Source organism: Homo sapiens, chromosome 11 (genome assembly GCF_000001405.40).
Source record: "Homo sapiens chromosome 11, GRCh38.p14 Primary Assembly".
Classification (NCBI taxonomy): Eukaryota; Metazoa; Chordata; class Mammalia; order Primates; family Hominidae; genus Homo; species Homo sapiens.
In genome coordinates this window covers 66,546,351-66,563,341 of record NC_000011.10, presented here as the reverse complement: position 1 = coordinate 66,563,341, position 16,991 = coordinate 66,546,351, and the positions used below count along the sequence as shown (strand labels likewise).

Sequence of the window (16,991 nt, the reverse complement as noted above, 5' to 3'; positions counted from 1 at the left end):
AAGGAGATGGGGAGAGACCCAGAGAGGGATCTTTATTCAGAAGCACTTGGCTGGCTTTTCTCTTAGGCCCTTGCTCCGAGGGACGGATGGGATCAGCCACAGGGTGCATCCTCTCTCCATCTTGCATAGAGAACCTCAGTGGTTGGGGTCAAAGGTCGCTCTCCCCATAGAGGGCACTGGAGAAGGCCACGTAGTCCAGGGCTCCAGCCGGGGCCCCGGATCCCTTGTAGGGCACCATACGGCGGATGCAGTACTCGGCCTGCTTGGCAGGGAGCTCGCGCCGCAGCTCCTCGGGGGTGATGTAGTTCTGGGGAGAAGAGGCGTTGAGGACCCACAGGTCCCGTGCCCTGCCCTAGCCCACCAGCCCCTCCACCGCCTGGGACTCACCTTGTCTCCTGCCAAGATCTTGAAGGAAGCTACAACTTGCTCAGTCGTGTCAGTCTCGGCTGTCTCTCGGGTCATGAAGTCTATGAAGGCCTGGAAGGTCACCACCCCAGCTGCGTTGGGGTCCACCATGGTCATGATGCGAGCAAACTCCACTTCCCCCTGCAGGGATAGAGGCCAGGCACTATGCCCATGAGCACTAAAGCCAGGAGGGCTCCCAGTGTCCCCTCCTGGGGACTGTCCAACCTCAGCTAGCAGAGCCCCAGTAACAAGGGAGTTCCCTTCCTCCAGAGACCTTAGCCCTGGCTGTAGGAAGTCCTTTATGGTAGGCTGAAATCTGCATCCTACCCACAGCAGGAAGCAGATTTGCTCCCTGGTCCTGATTTTTTTTCCAGGGCCACACCCGTTTCTGTAGTGCTGTTTCCCTACAGGTAAAAATGTTGCAAGCTCAGACTTTGGGTCCACACAGAACTGGGTCCAAGTGAGTTTTACCTCCCTGAGCCTTGCTAGCCCCTGTGTGGATGTAGTGAAGATGCAGGGGATGGTGTATGTGAAGATGGGAGGTGCACAGTAGGTGATCAGCACAGAGGAGGGGGTACTTTGGGACTCCTGGGAAGGAGCTGGGGAGCTCTCACCAGGTCATAGCCCATGGAGATGAGGCAAGCTCGGAAGTCATCAGGCTCCATCATCCCATTCTGCTTCTGTAGGGGGTGAGTGGTTATCAGGCTTGGTCTCCAGCCTCCACCAGCCCCCAAGTGTCTTACCCCACAGGGCCAGGCCCCTGCTGACCCTGTCAAAGTGGTTGAAGGATGCTCGGAACTCGTTGAGCTGCTCCTGGCTCAGTCCCTTGGCGTCTCGGGTCAGTACCTGGTTCTCCACTTCATTGATGGTGCGGGCAATGGAGGTGAGCAGCTGCTCCCAGCCCACGCGGATGTGCTGGCGGTCAGGGGACAGGCCACTGTCAGTGGGCGGCCAGTGCCTGGCCACTGGCTCTAGCTCCACATCCAGTTCACTGAATGACCCTGGGCAAGTCCTCCCCCTCACTGGGCCTCCATCCCCATCTGGAGGCTCCACTGAGTAACCCACCCCCACCCCAGCAGTCCTTCCTGTCTTTTGATAACCAGCTATGGCCAATCTTGGCCTGGTTTTGGACGGCTTTGTGACTCTGGAAGGGTCACTTTCCATCGCTGGGTCTTAAGGGACCTGGCCAAGCTGAACTGGGGACTCTGCTGGGACACACATGCTCTGTCCAGCTGTGATCTCCCTGGGCCTCCTCAGCCAGTGCTGCCTCCCCACTCTCCTGAGAGGGTGTGATCCCACCTCCATGCTGTAGACGGTGTGCTTATTGTCGAACACCAGGCTCTCCTGCAGCAGCTGGTGGTCACCCTCCAGCCGGTCAATGTTAGTCTTGTAGTTGATAATGTTCTGCTCCTGCTGCCGTAGCCCAGCCATCTGCTCCTCCAGAGAGCCAGCTAGCCCTGCTGCCAGCCGCCCCACTTCCTGCAGGGGTTCCCAGGCAGCATGAGGGCTCCCAACTCCCTGTGGCCCAGCCCTGGCCCCATCCCCCCAGGTTGGACCCACTATCCCAGCCCTTACCTCCACCTTCGCCTGGATCCAGGGTCCAATGGCATTGGCCTGGGCCGCAAACTGTCGCCGGAGCCTCTCGTTTACCTGCTGCCGTGCCAGCTCCTCCTGCAGTGTCTGGTCACAGCTGGGCACCAGCTTTCGGACCTGGGAGGAGGGCAGTTATGCCAGAGCCAGCTCTGGGGGCTGGGAAATGGCTTTAGGGGAGATGGGCTCCAGCCCCTCAAACCTCAGCCCCTGTTGCTTTGAGCCAACTTGTCTGGGATATACGAGAAAGCTCTTGGGCAAGTCACTAACCCATGTGGGCTTCAGTTTTCTCATCTGCAAAATGGGGCTGATGGCATCATTTACTAATATGGGTGGATTTATAAAAGATGTCCACACACAAGGCTTAATTCTACTTCACATCAGTCCTGACAGGAGAATGCTGCTGTTACAGCTCATCATATACAGATGAGCCCGAGACAGGCAAGGCGATTTATCCAATCCCACGTGGAGTCTGTGGCAGACCCCACATCTGAAGATGGACTTTATTCTCCATATCTTGGGCCACCCGAGATTTCAGGGTGGTCACAGTATGCAGGAGGGGGTGGGAGGAAGGCTGCAGGTGGCACTGACCATATCCCACTTGGTGTTGATGTCCTGCGGGCTGAGGGTGATGTAGGGATTGGTGGAGCAGGGCCGCAGCCCATACGTCTGGCAGATCTTCTGGATCTCACCCTGGATGCCCATGATGGCACCTCGCTCTCGGTCAGCCTCGGGCAGTGTTGCCTTGAACTGATCGTGCGCTGTCAGCAGGCTCTGGGGACGACAGGCAGGAAGTGTCAGCTGGTGTCCCCCACTTACCACAGGCAACAGAAAGGGCAGCAGTGTGCCCCAGGCCACCCACCAGTCCTGGGCAGTCCTGACACAAGAACCCCGGCCTCCTGTCTTCCAGCCCAGCACTCGGGAACTGGGGTTTTCCTCCCATCCCTATGCCCCAGGAGCCTAAAGTTGTGGGTGGCAGAATTTGGGGCCAGCTTTCCTGTCATCCTATCCATCCCCTGCAACCCTGGCACCCACCTGGGTCTCCTCCACAGAGTGTACCAGCCACACGTCCTGCAGGTCCTCCACGGCACCATCCAGCCAGTTGTTGAAGGGCGCGGCCCGCCGGGCAAACTCCAGTTGCAGCCGGTCAATGGTCTCCAGGAGCTTCTCCATCCGCTAGAGGTGGGAGGCGTAGTGGGTCAGAAGCCTGCCCTGCAGACCTGGCCTCACCCACCTACCCACCCCCCAGCTCCCCGGCCCCCAGCCCCACCTCTAGCGCATCCCGCCTCTTCTGGGTCAGGGTGCCCAGGTTGTCCCACTGATCGCAGATGGCCTGGCAGCGGCTATTCACTGAGGCTGCCTCGTGGTAGTCCAGCTCACTGGGAGCGAGAAGTAGGGCGAGTGTGGGGCCAGCCCCAGCCCAGATGTCCTAACTGCACTCCCAGGGCTGGAACCTGCTCCCCGGATGGGGGTGAAGGCGTGCGGGAGCCAGGGCAGGTGGTGGGTAAAGCTGGGTGCTTTCCAAGAGGGGCGGTACCAGCGCATCCCTCTGGGCAGGTGGGCGCCCGCGGGTCCTTAGCTGCAGTCCATGGAGGTGCTTGGGTGGAGGGGCGGGGTTGCGCAAGAAGGGGCGGGTTCATGGGAGGGGGTGGCCAGGCCAAGGCTGATGGGGAGGGTTTGGAGCAGTAAGCCGGGTGAAGAGAGCGGGCAGGTTAGAGGGCAGGTCACGGAGTGAGACAGGTCAAGCGCCAGTGGGAAGAGTGTGAGCAGCAGAGCGGGGTCCGGAGGTGGGGGTGGGGTTCCAGGAGGGGCGGAGCGAATGGGACCTGGGTACCACGGCGGGGTTACAGAACCCAGGAGAGCCTAGTGTCTTGAGAAGGGCAATGGGGATCAGGGTGGGGCTCGCCACCGGGGGCGGGGCCGGGGGTGTTGGGGGCGGGCCCCGCGAGGCCCCGCCTACTTGAGCTCCTGGGCCAGCGCGGCAATGTGCTCCACGCGGTCCTGGTGCGCCGCCAGGTCGCTCTCAAAGGCCTCGTGGCGCCGCAGCAACGCCCGCACCTCCTGTAGCAAAGCCGAATCGTAGTCGCGCTGGCTCAGCATCTCCTCCTTTCCTGCTCAAAGAGATGCCGGCTCCGGTCACCCAGTGGCGGCAGGGGCAGGGGTGCGCGGCGGGCTGCGTGACCATGAAGCCTCATCTGCTAAGGTGGCGATCGCACCGGCCTAGCTCGTCCTAGGGATTTGCTCTGCGGCGTCGGTGTAATAACGTAGGTGAAAGTCCTCTTCCGTGGCGTGATCCGCAAATGACATCAGCGTCCCCTGAGCGAGCTACGTCCAGGGGGCCCTTGGTACAGTTTTAGCATAATTTGACCTTAAAATAGCTCTCAACGATTCTGTAACCCCCATGAGCCCCTGACCCGGCCTCCTTTGTTCACTACAGAAATCCTCGACAGAACAATGAATGGATGTTTCTATCCAGAGTAATATATTTGACTCGTGCAATATTTTAGCGTCAGTATACTTTGAGTATGACATAAGTGATGTTAGGGTGAGGAATGGACTCACCTTTGAACACCTGACACATATAAAATAAAATGCTAAATTGAATTAATCAGAGCAGATCTACAGAAGACCAGAGCAGGGCTGGGGGGTGAGGGGGAAGGCTGAGTTTATAGAAAACAGGCGGGTGTGCGGTGGCTCATTCCTGTAATCCCAGCACTTTGGGAGGCTGAGGTGGGTGGATCACTCGAGTCCAGGAGTTTGAGACCAGCCTGGGCAACAAAGTGAGAACCCATCTCTACAAAAAGTACAAAAAGTTACTGGGCGTGGTGGTGCACGCCTGTGGTCCCAGCTACTTGGGTGGCTGAGGCAGGAGGATCGCTTGAGCCTGGGAGGCAGAGATTGTAGTGAGCCGAGATTGTACTAGCCTGGGCAATAGAGCAAGACTCTGTCTCAAAAAACAAAACAAACTGTGGTCCACAGAGGGGCAGTGGCCAAAAGAGAGGCCTAGGTTGCACCACAGCAAGTCAGGGTGGGACTAGAAATCCAGTCTCTGGCTTTCCTGCAGAGCACCTACCCTTGTCCTGTGCATTTTGCCAAGAACCTCCCCTCCTGCCCCTGCACACCAATCTCCACCCCAAGAGACAGTCCAGCCCCATGAGGTAGGTCTACCTACCCCGGGTCCAGGCTTCGTGCAGGGAGGCCTTCTGCCGGAACTTCTCAGCCAGGTGCTGGAGTCGCTGCAGGCGCCGGATCTCCGAGAGCAGCCAGTCCTCATAGCCCTTTTCCACCTGCTCCAGCCCCCGCCAGGCGTTGGCGATGTCCTGTGGAGCAGGCAGGGGTGCGCTCCATCACGGTTTGCCCATTGTACAGATGGGATACGGACCTCAAGGTCACCTAGGGAATGTGTGTAGAGCTCACCGAGACCAGCTTGCCCTCGGAGGGCATGAAGGCAGGCCGGTGGCTGAGCCGCAACTTGGTCTGCAGTGTGTTGAAGTTGATCTCCAGCTGGCACTTTTCCTGAATGCGGGGCGGCTTGTGCAGACGCCGGTAGTCCCGAAAGTCCTCTAGTTTGCGCTGCATGGCACTCATGCTGGGCTCACCCACACGGTTCTCCAGCCATGGGACAGTGCGGCGGATCCACTCCAGCAGCTGACAGGGCCAGGCAGGGGCAAGGCAGACAGCTCTGCGCTGACCTGCCCAGCTCACCCACCCCTCTCCACCCACACCCAGGCTGTGGCCAGAGTGTAGGTGGGGGTGACTTTGACAACTACGAAAGCAGGATGGGGTAGTCCCCACAAGTCAGAGAAGAAGTGGGATGGTTGATTTCTGAGTCCAGGGGCTAGTATAGGTTGGCACAGAGCAGAGGGCCATGTGACTACTTAAATACAAGTGAATGGATCGATGCAGAAGTAAATGGATGAATGATGAGTGAATCAATGACTGACAGGAGCATGGGTTGGCAGAAGGGCAGGTGATGGGTGGGGATGGACAGGAGGAGGCTGGGAGGAAGCCAGGGCTACTCTGAGCAGAGGGAGGCTCTGCAGGCCCACGCTTGGGGTTAGCAGGGTTGGGAGAGCCAGTAGGGCTGGGGTGGGGAGAGCACGGTGGGAGCCCAGCCTCACCTCACTGGCAAGCTTCTCATACTCCTCCATCAGCTTCTCGTTTTCCTGGTTCACTGCCAGCACCTTGCAGATCCTGTTGGCAGCTGTCTCTGCCTGTGGGGGGAGTGGGCAGAAGGCTGGCATTAAAGCAAATTGCTTCTGTAAAGCCCTTAAAACCCAGAGCCCCGCCGAGCGCGGTGGCTCACGCCTGTAATCCCAGCAGTTTGGGAGGCCGAGGCGGGCGGATCACGAGGTCAGGAGATCGAAACCATCCTAGCTAACACGGTGAAACCCCGTCTCTACTAAAAATACAAAAAAATTGGCCGGGCGTGGTGGTGGGCGCCTGTAGTCTCAGCTACCTGGGAGGCTGAGGCAGGAGAATGGCGTGAGCCTGGCAGGCAGAGCTGGCAGTGAGCCGAGACCGCCCCACTGCACTCCAGCCTGGGCGACAGAGCAAGACTCCGTCTCAAAAAACAAAACAAAACACAAACAAACAAAAACAGAGCCCCCAGCTGGGCGTGGTGGCTCATGCCTGTAATCCCAACAGTTTGGGAGGCTGAGGTGGGTGAGTTACTTGAGTCCAGGAGTTCGAGACCAGCCTGGGCAACATGATGAAACACTATCTCTACAAAAAATACAAAAATTAGTCAGGTGTGGTAGCACGTGCCTGTAGTCCCAGCTACTGGGGAGGCTGAGGCAGGAGGCTGAGGTCAAGGCAGCAATGAGCCGTGATCACGCCACTTCACTCCAGCCTGGATGACAGAGTGAGACTCTGTCTCAAAAAACAAACAAAGAATGGAGTCCCTGCAAATTGGGAAAGGGATTGGGGGAGCACGGCTCTTAGGTAGGGAGTGAGTTTCCAAACCAGGGTCCTCTGCTCCTGCTGAAGACTGAGTGTGTGCAGCTGGCACAGTGGCACTCCAACCTCCGTGGTCTGGCGCCTCCAATGTTGGACTACAGCCAAGGTTGGGCCCTTGGGTCCACAAGCCCAGGCAGCAGCAGTTGGGCCGCCTTACCTGCTCAGCCCCGGCAAAGGCATGGTAGAAGCAGGACACATAGGTCATGATGGCCTTCTCATCCGGCTTTGGGGTGTTCACAATGTCTAGGGGAGGACAGCACGGTGTCTACTGGCCAAAGCCAGGGGTCCCTCCCCAGGCAGAGAACTCTCTCTGGGTGGGAGGGCTGGAAGCATCCAGTCATGGCCACCAGCAGCCAGCCACCCAAGCCCAGTGTCTTCTCTTCCTTGAAGCCCTCTCTCCTTACCCCAGGGCTCAGCAACTTCCCCATCTCCCCACCTTGGGGTGAGCAAAGTGTGAGGGACTGGGTGGGTGAGTGTGAGTGGGCAGCCACTGTGGCCCTCGTGAGGGACTGGTCCACGCTGTCTCATGCCTTGAACTATCCTATACCTCCCTCGGTCTGTGTGTCTTTCCCCCAAGTCCACAAGCTCCTCAGGGCAAGAAAAAGTTCTTCTCCAGCAGTGCCCACACAGCCTGGGCATCATGCATAGTAGATGCTCAGAAAGTGTTTGCTGCTTCAGTTGACTATTGCCTTGCCTAGGCATGGGGACCACAGGCAGGACGTGCCCCAGGGGAGCTGCCAGTCTTGGGGGACCAACATCCCAGGTAACCCAGGTAACTGGGATGTGAGGCAGAAGGTAGGGCCATTACATAGGGGAGAGGTGGCAGAGGATGGTCCTCTTTGGGGGATGGGGCATGGGACAAGATAGAGGACTCCTGGAGAAGGGGGACTGTGACCAGGGAGTGGGGTGGGGGTGGTCGGAGCATCCCAGGAGGAGGAAAGGGCCGTGCAAAGGTGTGGAGGTTGTACCAGGCCCAGTGTGGAGAATGTGGGGTCTTCCCCTGGGCTAGCTCACTCTCACCTTCTGCATCCAACATCTTGGGGATGTCCAGGTATTTCTCTGCCACCTCAAAGGCAGTGTTCAGGTTTCCGATGGGGTCATCCTAGAAGGGTGTAAGGGAGGAGGGTGAAAGGTCAGCTGCAGGCAGAGGCCTTGGGCTGGGGTGGTGGGGGCCTCTACCTTTCGCAGTTTGGCGTAGTCGATGAGGTCAGGGCGGTGTCGGTGGATGAGGGCACAGAGGGCCAGGCCATCCTTCCAGCTGGACAGAGAGAAGAGGGGGGTCAGGCCTGGGTTCAAGCTGGGGCCCCGTTCTCCCCTCGGCCCAGGAGCACCCCCCAGAAGGACAGCCTCATCTGTAAAATGGAGTAAAGTACAAATCCCTTAGCTTGGCGTTTGAGGCCCTTCATGACCAGATCTGGACCATCTCCTGCTAGCTCATCACGATTCCGTCACACACTCATGCTTAGGCCCGACCAGTTTCTAAATATTTTTGGCCTCCAGCTTCCCTCTGGCTGGAATGGCCTTCCAGGGAAGTCTCAAACACTCCCTCCTCCAGGAGTTACTGGAACCCTCCTGGATTCAATTCCATTCCACTCAACAGTTACTGAGCCCTCTTTTCAGACACTGTTCCAGGAACTGTGACCTTTCCTTCCCTGTGGCTTGTGACAGAGACCAGCTCAGTGCCCTTCACTGACCAGGGAGGGCTCCTCTCTATGCCCAGTACCCCACAGAGGCCCAGACACATTTGGTAACCACCTGACAGACCTGGTGTGGAAGTTCTGCACGTTGACGTTGCGGTACGGTGCTGTCTTCCTCTGGCACCACAGAAGCAAGCCTTCCTTGGCTGAGGTTTCTGGGTCGGGGGGAGGTGGGAGGATTCATTGGGAAGGGGTCCAGGTCAGCCCTCTCACACTTCTTTTTTTTTTTTTTTTGAGACAGGGTCTTGCTATGTCATCCAACTGGAGTGCAGTGACACGATCATGGCTCACCGCAGCCTCAACCTCCCAGGCTCAAGCGATCCTCCTACCTCAGCCTCCCTAGTATCTGGGACTATAGGCACATGCCACCATGGCCAGCTTTTTTTTTTTTTTTTTTTTTGGTATTTTTTGTAGAGATGGGGTTTCACCATGTTGTCCAGGCTGGTCTTGAACTCCTGGGCGATCCTTCAAGTGGTCTGCCCGCCTCGACCTCCCAAACTGTGGGGATTACAGGCCCCAGCCACTGCACCTGGCCCCAACCTCCTTTCCCATTGCTCACCTTCCACAGAGATGTCCTGGATGGCGAAGCGAAGGATGATGGTCCAGATCATGCCCAGGGTCATCTTCAGGTTCCCGTCAACAATCTCTGCAGGGCAGGGGTCAGGGGACAGATTTGCCTGGCATTCAAGGTCTGTGCTATCTGGCCTCAGCTTACCTTCCCCTCTGATCAGCCCTCTGGCCCTTGTCTCCCATTTCAGGGCTGGCACCTAGTAGGTGAGCACCTAGCAGGTGCTCAATAAGCATCTCTTTTTCTTTTTCTTTTTTTTTTTTTTTTTTGAGATGGAGTCTCGCTCTGTCACCCAGGCTGGAGTGCAGTGGCGCAATCTCCGCCTCCCAGGTTCACACCATTCTCCTGCCTCAGCCTCCTGAGTAGCTGGGACTACAGGCGCCCACCACCACGCCCGGCTAATTTTTTTTATTTTTAGTAGAGAAGGGGTTTCACCATGTCAGCCAGGATGGTCTCAATCTCCTGACCTCATGATCTGCCTGCCTCGGCCTCCCAAAGTGCTGGGATTACAAGCATGAGCCACCGTGTCTGGCCTCTTTTTCTTTTCTTTTTTTTTATTATAATTTTTTCCCATGGAGTCTCCCTCTTTGCCCCGGCTGGAGTACAGTGGTGCAATCTCAGCTCACTGCAACCTCCGCCTCCTGGGTTCAAGTGATTCTCCTTCCTCAGCCTCCCTAATAGCGGGGACTACAGGCTGCACCACCAAACCCGGCTAATTTTTTTGTATTTTTAGGAGAGATGGGGTTTCACCATGTTGGCCTGGCTGGTCTCGAACTCCCGACCTCAAATGATCTGCCCACCTCAGCCTCCCAAAGTGCTGGGATTACAGTCGTGAGCCACTGCACCCAGCTGCATCTATTTTTTGGGGGGTGACAGAGTCTTGCTCTGTTGCCCGGGCTGGAGTGCAGTGGCATGATCTCAGCTCACTGCAACCTCTGCCTCCCTGGTTCAAGCAATTCTTCTGCCTCAGCCTCCCGAGTAGCTGGGACTACAGGTGCATGCCACCATGCTCAGCTGATTTTTGTATTTTTAGTAGAGATGGATTTCACTGTATTGGCCAGGCTGGTCTCGAACTCCTGACCTCATGATCTGCTTGCCTTGGCCTCCCAAAGTGCTGGGGTTACAGGTGTAAGCCATCACCCCTGGCCCGCATCTATTTTTTTGTTTAGTTGGTTGGTTTTGGGAATTTTTTGAGATGGAGTTTTCTCTTTGTGTGTGTGTGTGTGTGTGTGTGTGTGTGTGAGAGAGAGAGAGAGAGAGAGAGAGAGAGACAGAGTCTCTCTTGTCACCCAGGCTGGAGTGCAATGGTGCAATCTTGGTTCACTGCAACCTCCGCCTCCCAGGGTCAAGGGATTCTCCTACCTCAGCCTCACGAGTAGCTGGGATTACAGGCGTGCGCCACCATGCCCAGCAAATTTTTGTGTTTTCAGTACAGACAGGCTTTCACCATGTTGGCCAGGATGGTCTCAAACTCCTGACTTCAGGGTGATCCATTTGCCTTGGCCTCCCAAAGTGCGAGAATACAGGGGTGAGCCACTGTGCCTGGCCAAGATGGAGTTTTGCTATGTTGCCCAGGCTGATCTCCAATTCCCGGGCTCAAACAATCCTTCCGCTTCAGTCTGCCAAGTAGCTGAGACTACAGCGCTACCATGCCTGGCTTGTTATTTAGCAATTATTTCACTAAACTCTTACTAGGGTTTGGGGGCTGAGCTGGCACTTTGGGTATATTGGCTTTTCTTTCTTTTTTTTTTTTGAGACGGAGTCTAGCTCTGTCACCCAGGCTGGAGTGCAGTGGCAAGATCTCAGCTCACTGCAACCTCGGCCTCCCGGGTTCAAGTGATTCTCTTGCCTTAGCCTCCTAAGTAGTTGGGATTACAGCCACGCGCCGCCACACCCAGCGTATTTTTAGTAGAGACAGGGTTTTACCATGTTGGCCAGGATGGTCTTGATCTCCTGACCTCGTGAGCCCCACACCTCAGCCTCCCAAAGTGCTGGGATTACAGGTGTGAGCCACCAGGCCTGGCCGGCATTTTTTTTTTTTCTTTCAGACAGAGTCTCTCGCTCTGTTGCTCAGGCTGGAGTGCAGTGGTGTGATCTCGGCTCACTGCAAGCTCCACCTCCCAGGTTCATTCAATTCTTGTGCCTCAGCCTCCCAAGTAGCTGGGATTACAGGTGTGCGCCACCACACCCAGCTGATTTTTGTATTTTTAGTAGAAATAGGGTTTTGCCATGTTGGCCAGGCTGGTCTCAAACTCCTAGCCTCAAGCAGTCCACTGGCCTTGGCCTCCCAAAGTGCCGAGATTACAGGCGTGAGCCACCGTGCCTGGCTGGCATACTGGCTCTTTACAGGCTCTCTTGCGAGGCAGGGATTATTCTCATTGCTGAGATGAGGAAACTGAGGCTCACAGAGGTGATTTGCTGATGTCAAGAGAGGCCCCTGTGCCCTGCCCAAGACCCTTCCTGCCACCTCCTCACCTTCAGCACCAATGGACACCAGTTTAACCCCCTTGCTGGCAATGAAGTCCAGGGCCTTGTTAACGTTGGCGATTTTGTGGAAGCGCATCTTGCCTTTATCTGGCCTAGGCAGCCTCTCACCTGGGTTTAAGAGGAGAGGCCAAGGGCCAAAGGTCATGAGAGGCAGCTGAAGCTATTGTCCGCAAACTCTCCCCTCCCCACCAAGTCCCGTCCAACACTCCGCCACCCTATTCCCCCTGCTGTCCAGATGTTCCTGGGTCCTGGGGCCCAGGTGCACTGATTTGCCATCCTCACCTGAAATGACCTCCAGGAGCAGCATGAGTTTGAGGCCATTGCGGAAATCTTCCTCGATGTTCTCGATCTGGGTGCCTGCCTTGCGCAGGTGTGAGTTGCACCAGGCAGTGAAGGTCTAGGGGCAGAGGACAGCACTCAAACCCTACGACTGGCTCTGGGGGATGTAGGGCACAGTCCTGTCTCCTCAGTCAGGGTAGGTCTCAGAGCCTTGTATTTCTGGATTCAAGTCTCAGCTCAGCTCAGCCACTGACTTGCTGTGCATCCTGGGCCAGTCCCTTTCCCTCTCTGAGCTTTCGTTTTCCTGAGAGGGGAGAAATGGGGTCTGTGACCCATGCAGGTCCCAGTTCAGACTTGGGGCACCCGGCCACCAGCACCCCAGCCTTGGGGGTCTTAAACACTGGAGGGCCCTTAGAAAATGTTAACACATTCAAAATGTGGGGCCCTCTGAGGTTTTGAACCATAGGAGCCAGTGCAGGGTGATATTGCCTTTCTGAAATCTGAAAACTCCTGGACTCAAGCACATCTGGCCCTCAGGGTTTTGCCTAAGGGACTGTCTCTGTGTTTCTGTTTTCTCAGTGCTACTGACCTTCTAGGGTTGTTGTAAATTGGCCTCCAAGTAGACCCTACATGAGTAAGGACTCTGAGGGCTGTTGGAGCGTCAGCTGGCACTCGGGCCCAGCCTGATCTCATTTTGTTTTTTTAGAGAGAGACGGTCTTACTATGTTGCTCAGGCTTGTCTCAAGCTCCTGGGCTCAAGTGATCCTCCTGCCTCGGTCTTATTATGTTGCCCAGACTGGTCTCAAGCTCCTGGGCTCAAGTGATCCTCCTGCCTTGGCTTCCCAAAGTGTTGGGATTACAGGCATGAGCCACCATGCCTGGTCTGATCTCATTTCTAGGGGTGACTGCCCACCCCTTCCCCAAAAGTCAGCCTCAGCCTCAGCCTCCTTCTGAGATGGGAGGGATGGTACAGGGCTGTGTGTCTGTTGGGGATAGGGGTGACACGACACTTGGTACACAAGTTTCTGCCAACCTACCGCCCTTCAGGTCCTGAATTCTGCCTTTCCATAGACTACTTGGTAGAGTCAGGGTGGGCTCCAAGGCCAACTGAGCCACTCATGCTCTGTGATCTAGGGTCAGCCCCTTTCCCTCTTCGGGGCTTGGTCTTCCCATTTGTGTAATTAAAGGATCAGAATCTATGATGTCTCAGGTCTTTCTTCTTCCAGCCTGGCAGGATTCTTGGATTCAGAGCATCCCCACACCACAAAGCAGATACTCCTGGGAGGTGGCCCTGGGAGCCATTTGGAATTCTTCCCCTCAGCCACCTTTCCTTCCTCAGACCAGCTTGCCAGATGCCCTGGGAGCTGGACATGGAAGATGATGCGTTAAATACTTGAGGGGCTGTCATTGCTAAGGAAAGGGAGTGAGCTTCCCATCACTGGAGGTATGTAAGTAGACACTGAGTACAACTTGATGGGAACCTAAGCACTGAATAGGGCAGTTAGATTTCCCACAGTTCCCTCCAACCCTGGAGTCTAAGATGCTTTGAGTTTGGAAAGGGCAGGGGGATAGGCAGGTCTGGGTGGTGCCAAACATGACTCTTTTTTTTTTTTTTTTTTTTTTTGGAGACAGAGTTTCGCGCTTGTTGCCCAGACTGGAGTGCAATGGTGCGATCTCTACTCACTGCAACCTCTGCCTCCCTGGTTCAAGCGATTCTCCTGCCTCAGCCTCCCAAGTAGCTGGGATTACAGGCATGCGTCGCCACGCCCTGCTAATTTTGTATTTTTAGTAGAGATGGGGTTTCTCCATATTGGTCAGGCTGATCTTGAATTTACAACCTCAGGTGATCCGCCCCCCTCCGTCTCCCAAAGTGCTGGGATTACAGGCATGAGCCACCACTCCCAGCCCAAACAAGACTCTTAATGAGATGTGGTTCCTGCCCTAAGGGAGCTCACAGTCCATCCAAGAGTCATTTTGGTCTGAGAAGCGCTGTAAGAGGTTGCCGAGGAATTTATGGGAGGGACGCTGCGGATCAGGGTCCCCTCTTGGGGAAGGCGAGTATTTGATCAGAGCTGTGATGGGCAGGAATTATTCAGGAAGGGAAGGGCAGGCAAGGGCATTTCAGGCAGGGGCTGCCATGCAGGCAAGTGCTCGGTGGCTGTGAGAAACACTTGCTACATTTGTCAGACTACAAGGATCTGGGCACTGCTGGAATGGAGCTGGGATTGTTGGGGTATAAGTGGTGAGAGGCAGGCCGGAGGGGCAGCAGGAGCCAGGTCATGTGTGATCTTGGGTGCTAAGCTGGGGAGTTAAAATTTGATCCGGAGGGCAACAGAGAGTCAGGGAAGCCTCAGGCAGGAGGGAGGTGGGCAGAACTGTCCATGCTGGTTGCAGAGTGGAGATGAATGGCTTGGCGTGGCAGAAGGCAGAAGTGAGGACGCAGTCACTGGGATCAGGGCAAGAGAGGAAGGGTGTCAGTGTGGGGGACAAGGCAGGATTGGATGGATGAGACAGAAATGTTGGAATGTAAGCTCCCATGGCAGGGGCTTTATTTTGTCTGCTGCCGAATTCCAGCACCTGAAACAGCGCTGGCACATGGTAAGACATCAGGTGGGAGGAGGCAGCGTGCTGCTCCAAGACTGTGTGAAGGAAGCCCTTGGATGGAGGAGTCACTGGGGAGAAAGGGAGCATAGAGCAACAGGGAGGGGTCAGGGCTAAAGCTGAGCACAAGGATGTTTATTACCACCTTGCAATAAACAACGCTGGACAAGAAAGAAATGAGCCAAATGTCCAACTACAAGGGATGCTGATTGATTTTCAGATCCTCTATGCTGTGCCAGCCATTGAATGAGTAGATGATGAGATGGTGACTGCAAGTTGGGATGAACAGATGTTCCTGATAATTTGTTAGGTGACAAAGGCAAGTTACAGACTGGCACGTGTCATATGGGGGGCACGCAGACCTGGATCTCGGAGAGGCCCGGGTGGGTGGGGGTAGGGATAGGAGATGTTGCAGAACAGGTGGCAGCTGGAGCCAAGGACAGGGATGACACCACCGGGAAATTGCCAAACCTGGGACTGCAGCCGTGCTTGGAGACAGGTGCAGGGGGAGCCTAAGGGGAGGCCTGTCACCCGGGGCACCCCAGCCGAGTCAGCGGAGCCTCTCGGCCCTTGGGGTCATCTCCTGTCATCTAACCCAGCAGAAGTACTCTGATTCTAAATTCTGGGACTCTCAGGTCATTTAAATTCCACTGAGTACCCCAGTACCCTGCCCTCTCCTGGAGTCATACAGTGTTGGCACACGCTGAGCAGGGTCCAATGGCCTCATAGTGCCCTCCTGGTTACCCCTGGCCTGCCACTCTCCAAAGTATTCTCCCTCTGGCCTGGATCATTTTCCCTTTGGGAACCCAGGTGTCCTGCCCCCTCTACTTGGGAAAGTCTGGGAGTGAAAATAGCTCAGGGAGGGAGGGGCCCTGAGTGCCCAACGGGCTGGGCCTGGGTAGCAGCTGCCCCTGTGCCCCTCTTTGGCGCCCCCGAGGTGCTGCCTCAGCACTAAGTGTCCATCTGGCTGGAGAGTCAGGTTACAGCGTAAGGGGACCCAGGTCTCCCCTCCTCCCCGACCTATGGCCTTTTCAGCAGACTCAGGGCCCCATGCCTGGGGTATCTTGGGAAAGAATGGGGGTAGGGAAAAGGGTAAAGATCCTCAGGTTGCGGGGGTCCTGATGTCTGACAGTCTGTGATGTGGGGCCTGTCTGTGCTCTTTCTGGGCTTCAGTTTCTTCAATTGTTAAATGAGATACAGCGACTATGGACCCCACCCTGGAGACGAGGTGGGGTGGGGTCTGAGAGGACCCTTCTCACTACCCCCACACTCCCAAGTCCACTAGTTGCCTGACTGCAAGCCTTCAGGGTGGGGTCTGGGAATATTTAACTAGAAGAAGATTCTTCTTTCTGAACCCCCCCTAACTTGGATCTCCTGGGGTTTGCCCAGCCTGTTTTCAGCAGCAGAAGTGGGGCAGTGGGCCCAGGGGAATGAACCCTGGTGGGGGTGGGGAGCCCAGAAACTCTCTTGTCATTTTAAACCCCTCTTGAGGGCTCCCAGCCCTCTCCTCCAGCCCTGGGGACAGCAGGCAGCTGATGGGCAGAGCCTGGGCTGGGGATTAGCACTCTAGGTTAAAGACAAGCTCTGCCCCTGCACTGCTGAGATGCCCAGGACAAACAGCCCGGCCTCTCAGGCCTCGGTTTTGCTGTCAGGAAATGGGCGAGCACTCACTTTCCGCTGCTGCTTCTCCCAGGCCGGGTCCAGCAGCAGGTCGCGGTCCCAGTCCTCCTCCTGTTCCATGTACTCGCCGCCCCCGCCGCCGCCCGCAAAGCGCCCCTCCCCGGCCCCCAGACCCTCGGGCTGCATAACCATCATCATCTCGATCGGGCTCCTGGCTTCGCTCCGCTCGGCACGCTCTCGGACACCCGGGCCCCATTAAGTAGGGCCCAGCCCAGCCCCAGATCGAATTCGCACTAAATATGGGGGAGGAGGGAGGGGCCGGATGGGGGTGAAGGAGCTCGGGTTGGACCTGGCAAGGGGTTGTCCTGAAGCCGGGAACTGCGGGACTCGGGGGCGCCGGGGTGGATCTCGCGGCGGAGATCCTGGGTTTGCATTCCTGCTCCGCTGCTGGGGCGCTGTGTGACCTTGAGAAATCCACGGGACCTCTCTGAGTCTGTTTACTCCTCTCCACAATAGAAAGGCCGATAATAATAGTGGCCGCGGGCCGCTCTAGAGGCTGCCCTCTGGAGCTCCTCGTGAGCCTCTTCCAGCACCTCGCTGGTGGGACACAGAGCCCTATCCCCATTTCACAGTCAGGAACACAGAGGCGCCGAGCTGTTTTGCATGTTTTCTGGGGTGATGGAGACACCCGGGCATGGGGAACGGCTCTGAGCCAGCTGGATGGGCTGCGGCAGGGCTATTAATATCGGGGCGGCTGTGGGGAGTAGGGGAGAATGTGCTGAGCC

The 16,991-nt window shown here is 56.5% G+C and overlaps 1 protein-coding gene across 2 annotated transcripts, besides 3 other annotated features; it reads right to left on the bottom strand.

Annotated features, from left to right (window-relative positions):
* Positions 8-16,947, bottom strand: ACTN3 (actinin alpha 3). Of its 2 annotated transcripts, none has more exons than NM_001258371.3 (21): positions 16,556-16,947; positions 11,989-12,103; positions 11,695-11,814; positions 9,211-9,297; positions 8,719-8,806; positions 8,134-8,212; positions 7,975-8,056; positions 7,112-7,197; positions 6,117-6,209; positions 5,413-5,643; positions 5,168-5,315; positions 3,956-4,106; positions 3,266-3,374; positions 3,031-3,171; positions 2,587-2,769; positions 1,981-2,115; positions 1,705-1,884; positions 1,174-1,320; positions 1,020-1,085; positions 388-546; positions 8-307 (listed from the first exon to the last, which is right to left on the bottom strand). In NM_001258371.3, the coding sequence occupies exons 1-21, from the start codon at positions 16,829-16,831 to the stop codon at positions 149-151; spliced, it is 2,835 nt and encodes a 944-aa protein (NP_001245300.2). In that variant the 5' UTR covers positions 16,832-16,947; the 3' UTR covers positions 8-148. The 2 variants fall into 2 exon arrangements, with proteins under 2 accessions (NP_001245300.2, NP_001095.2); NM_001104.4 differs by lacking the exon at positions 16,556-16,947 and adding an exon at positions 16,258-16,439.
* Positions 13,830-14,124: a silencer, noted in NCBI's record as "tiled region #1034; HepG2 Repressive non-DNase unmatched - State 10:DNaseD, and K562 Repressive non-DNase unmatched - State 22:ReprW". NCBI's record gives its function as "represses a minimal TATA promoter and a strong SV40 promoter by Sharpr-MPRA in HepG2 and K562 cells {active_cell/tissue: HepG2 | K562}" and the evidence as "EXISTENCE:reporter gene assay evidence [ECO:0000049][PMID:27701403]".
* Positions 16,692-16,741: an enhancer, noted in NCBI's record as "active region_5049". NCBI's record gives its function as "activates an Ori minimal core promoter by ATAC-STARR-seq in GM12878 lymphoblastoid cells {active_cell/tissue: GM12878}" and the evidence as "EXISTENCE:reporter gene assay evidence [ECO:0000049][PMID:35858748]".
* Positions 16,812-16,871: an enhancer, noted in NCBI's record as "active region_5048". NCBI's record gives its function as "activates an Ori minimal core promoter by ATAC-STARR-seq in GM12878 lymphoblastoid cells {active_cell/tissue: GM12878}" and the evidence as "EXISTENCE:reporter gene assay evidence [ECO:0000049][PMID:35858748]".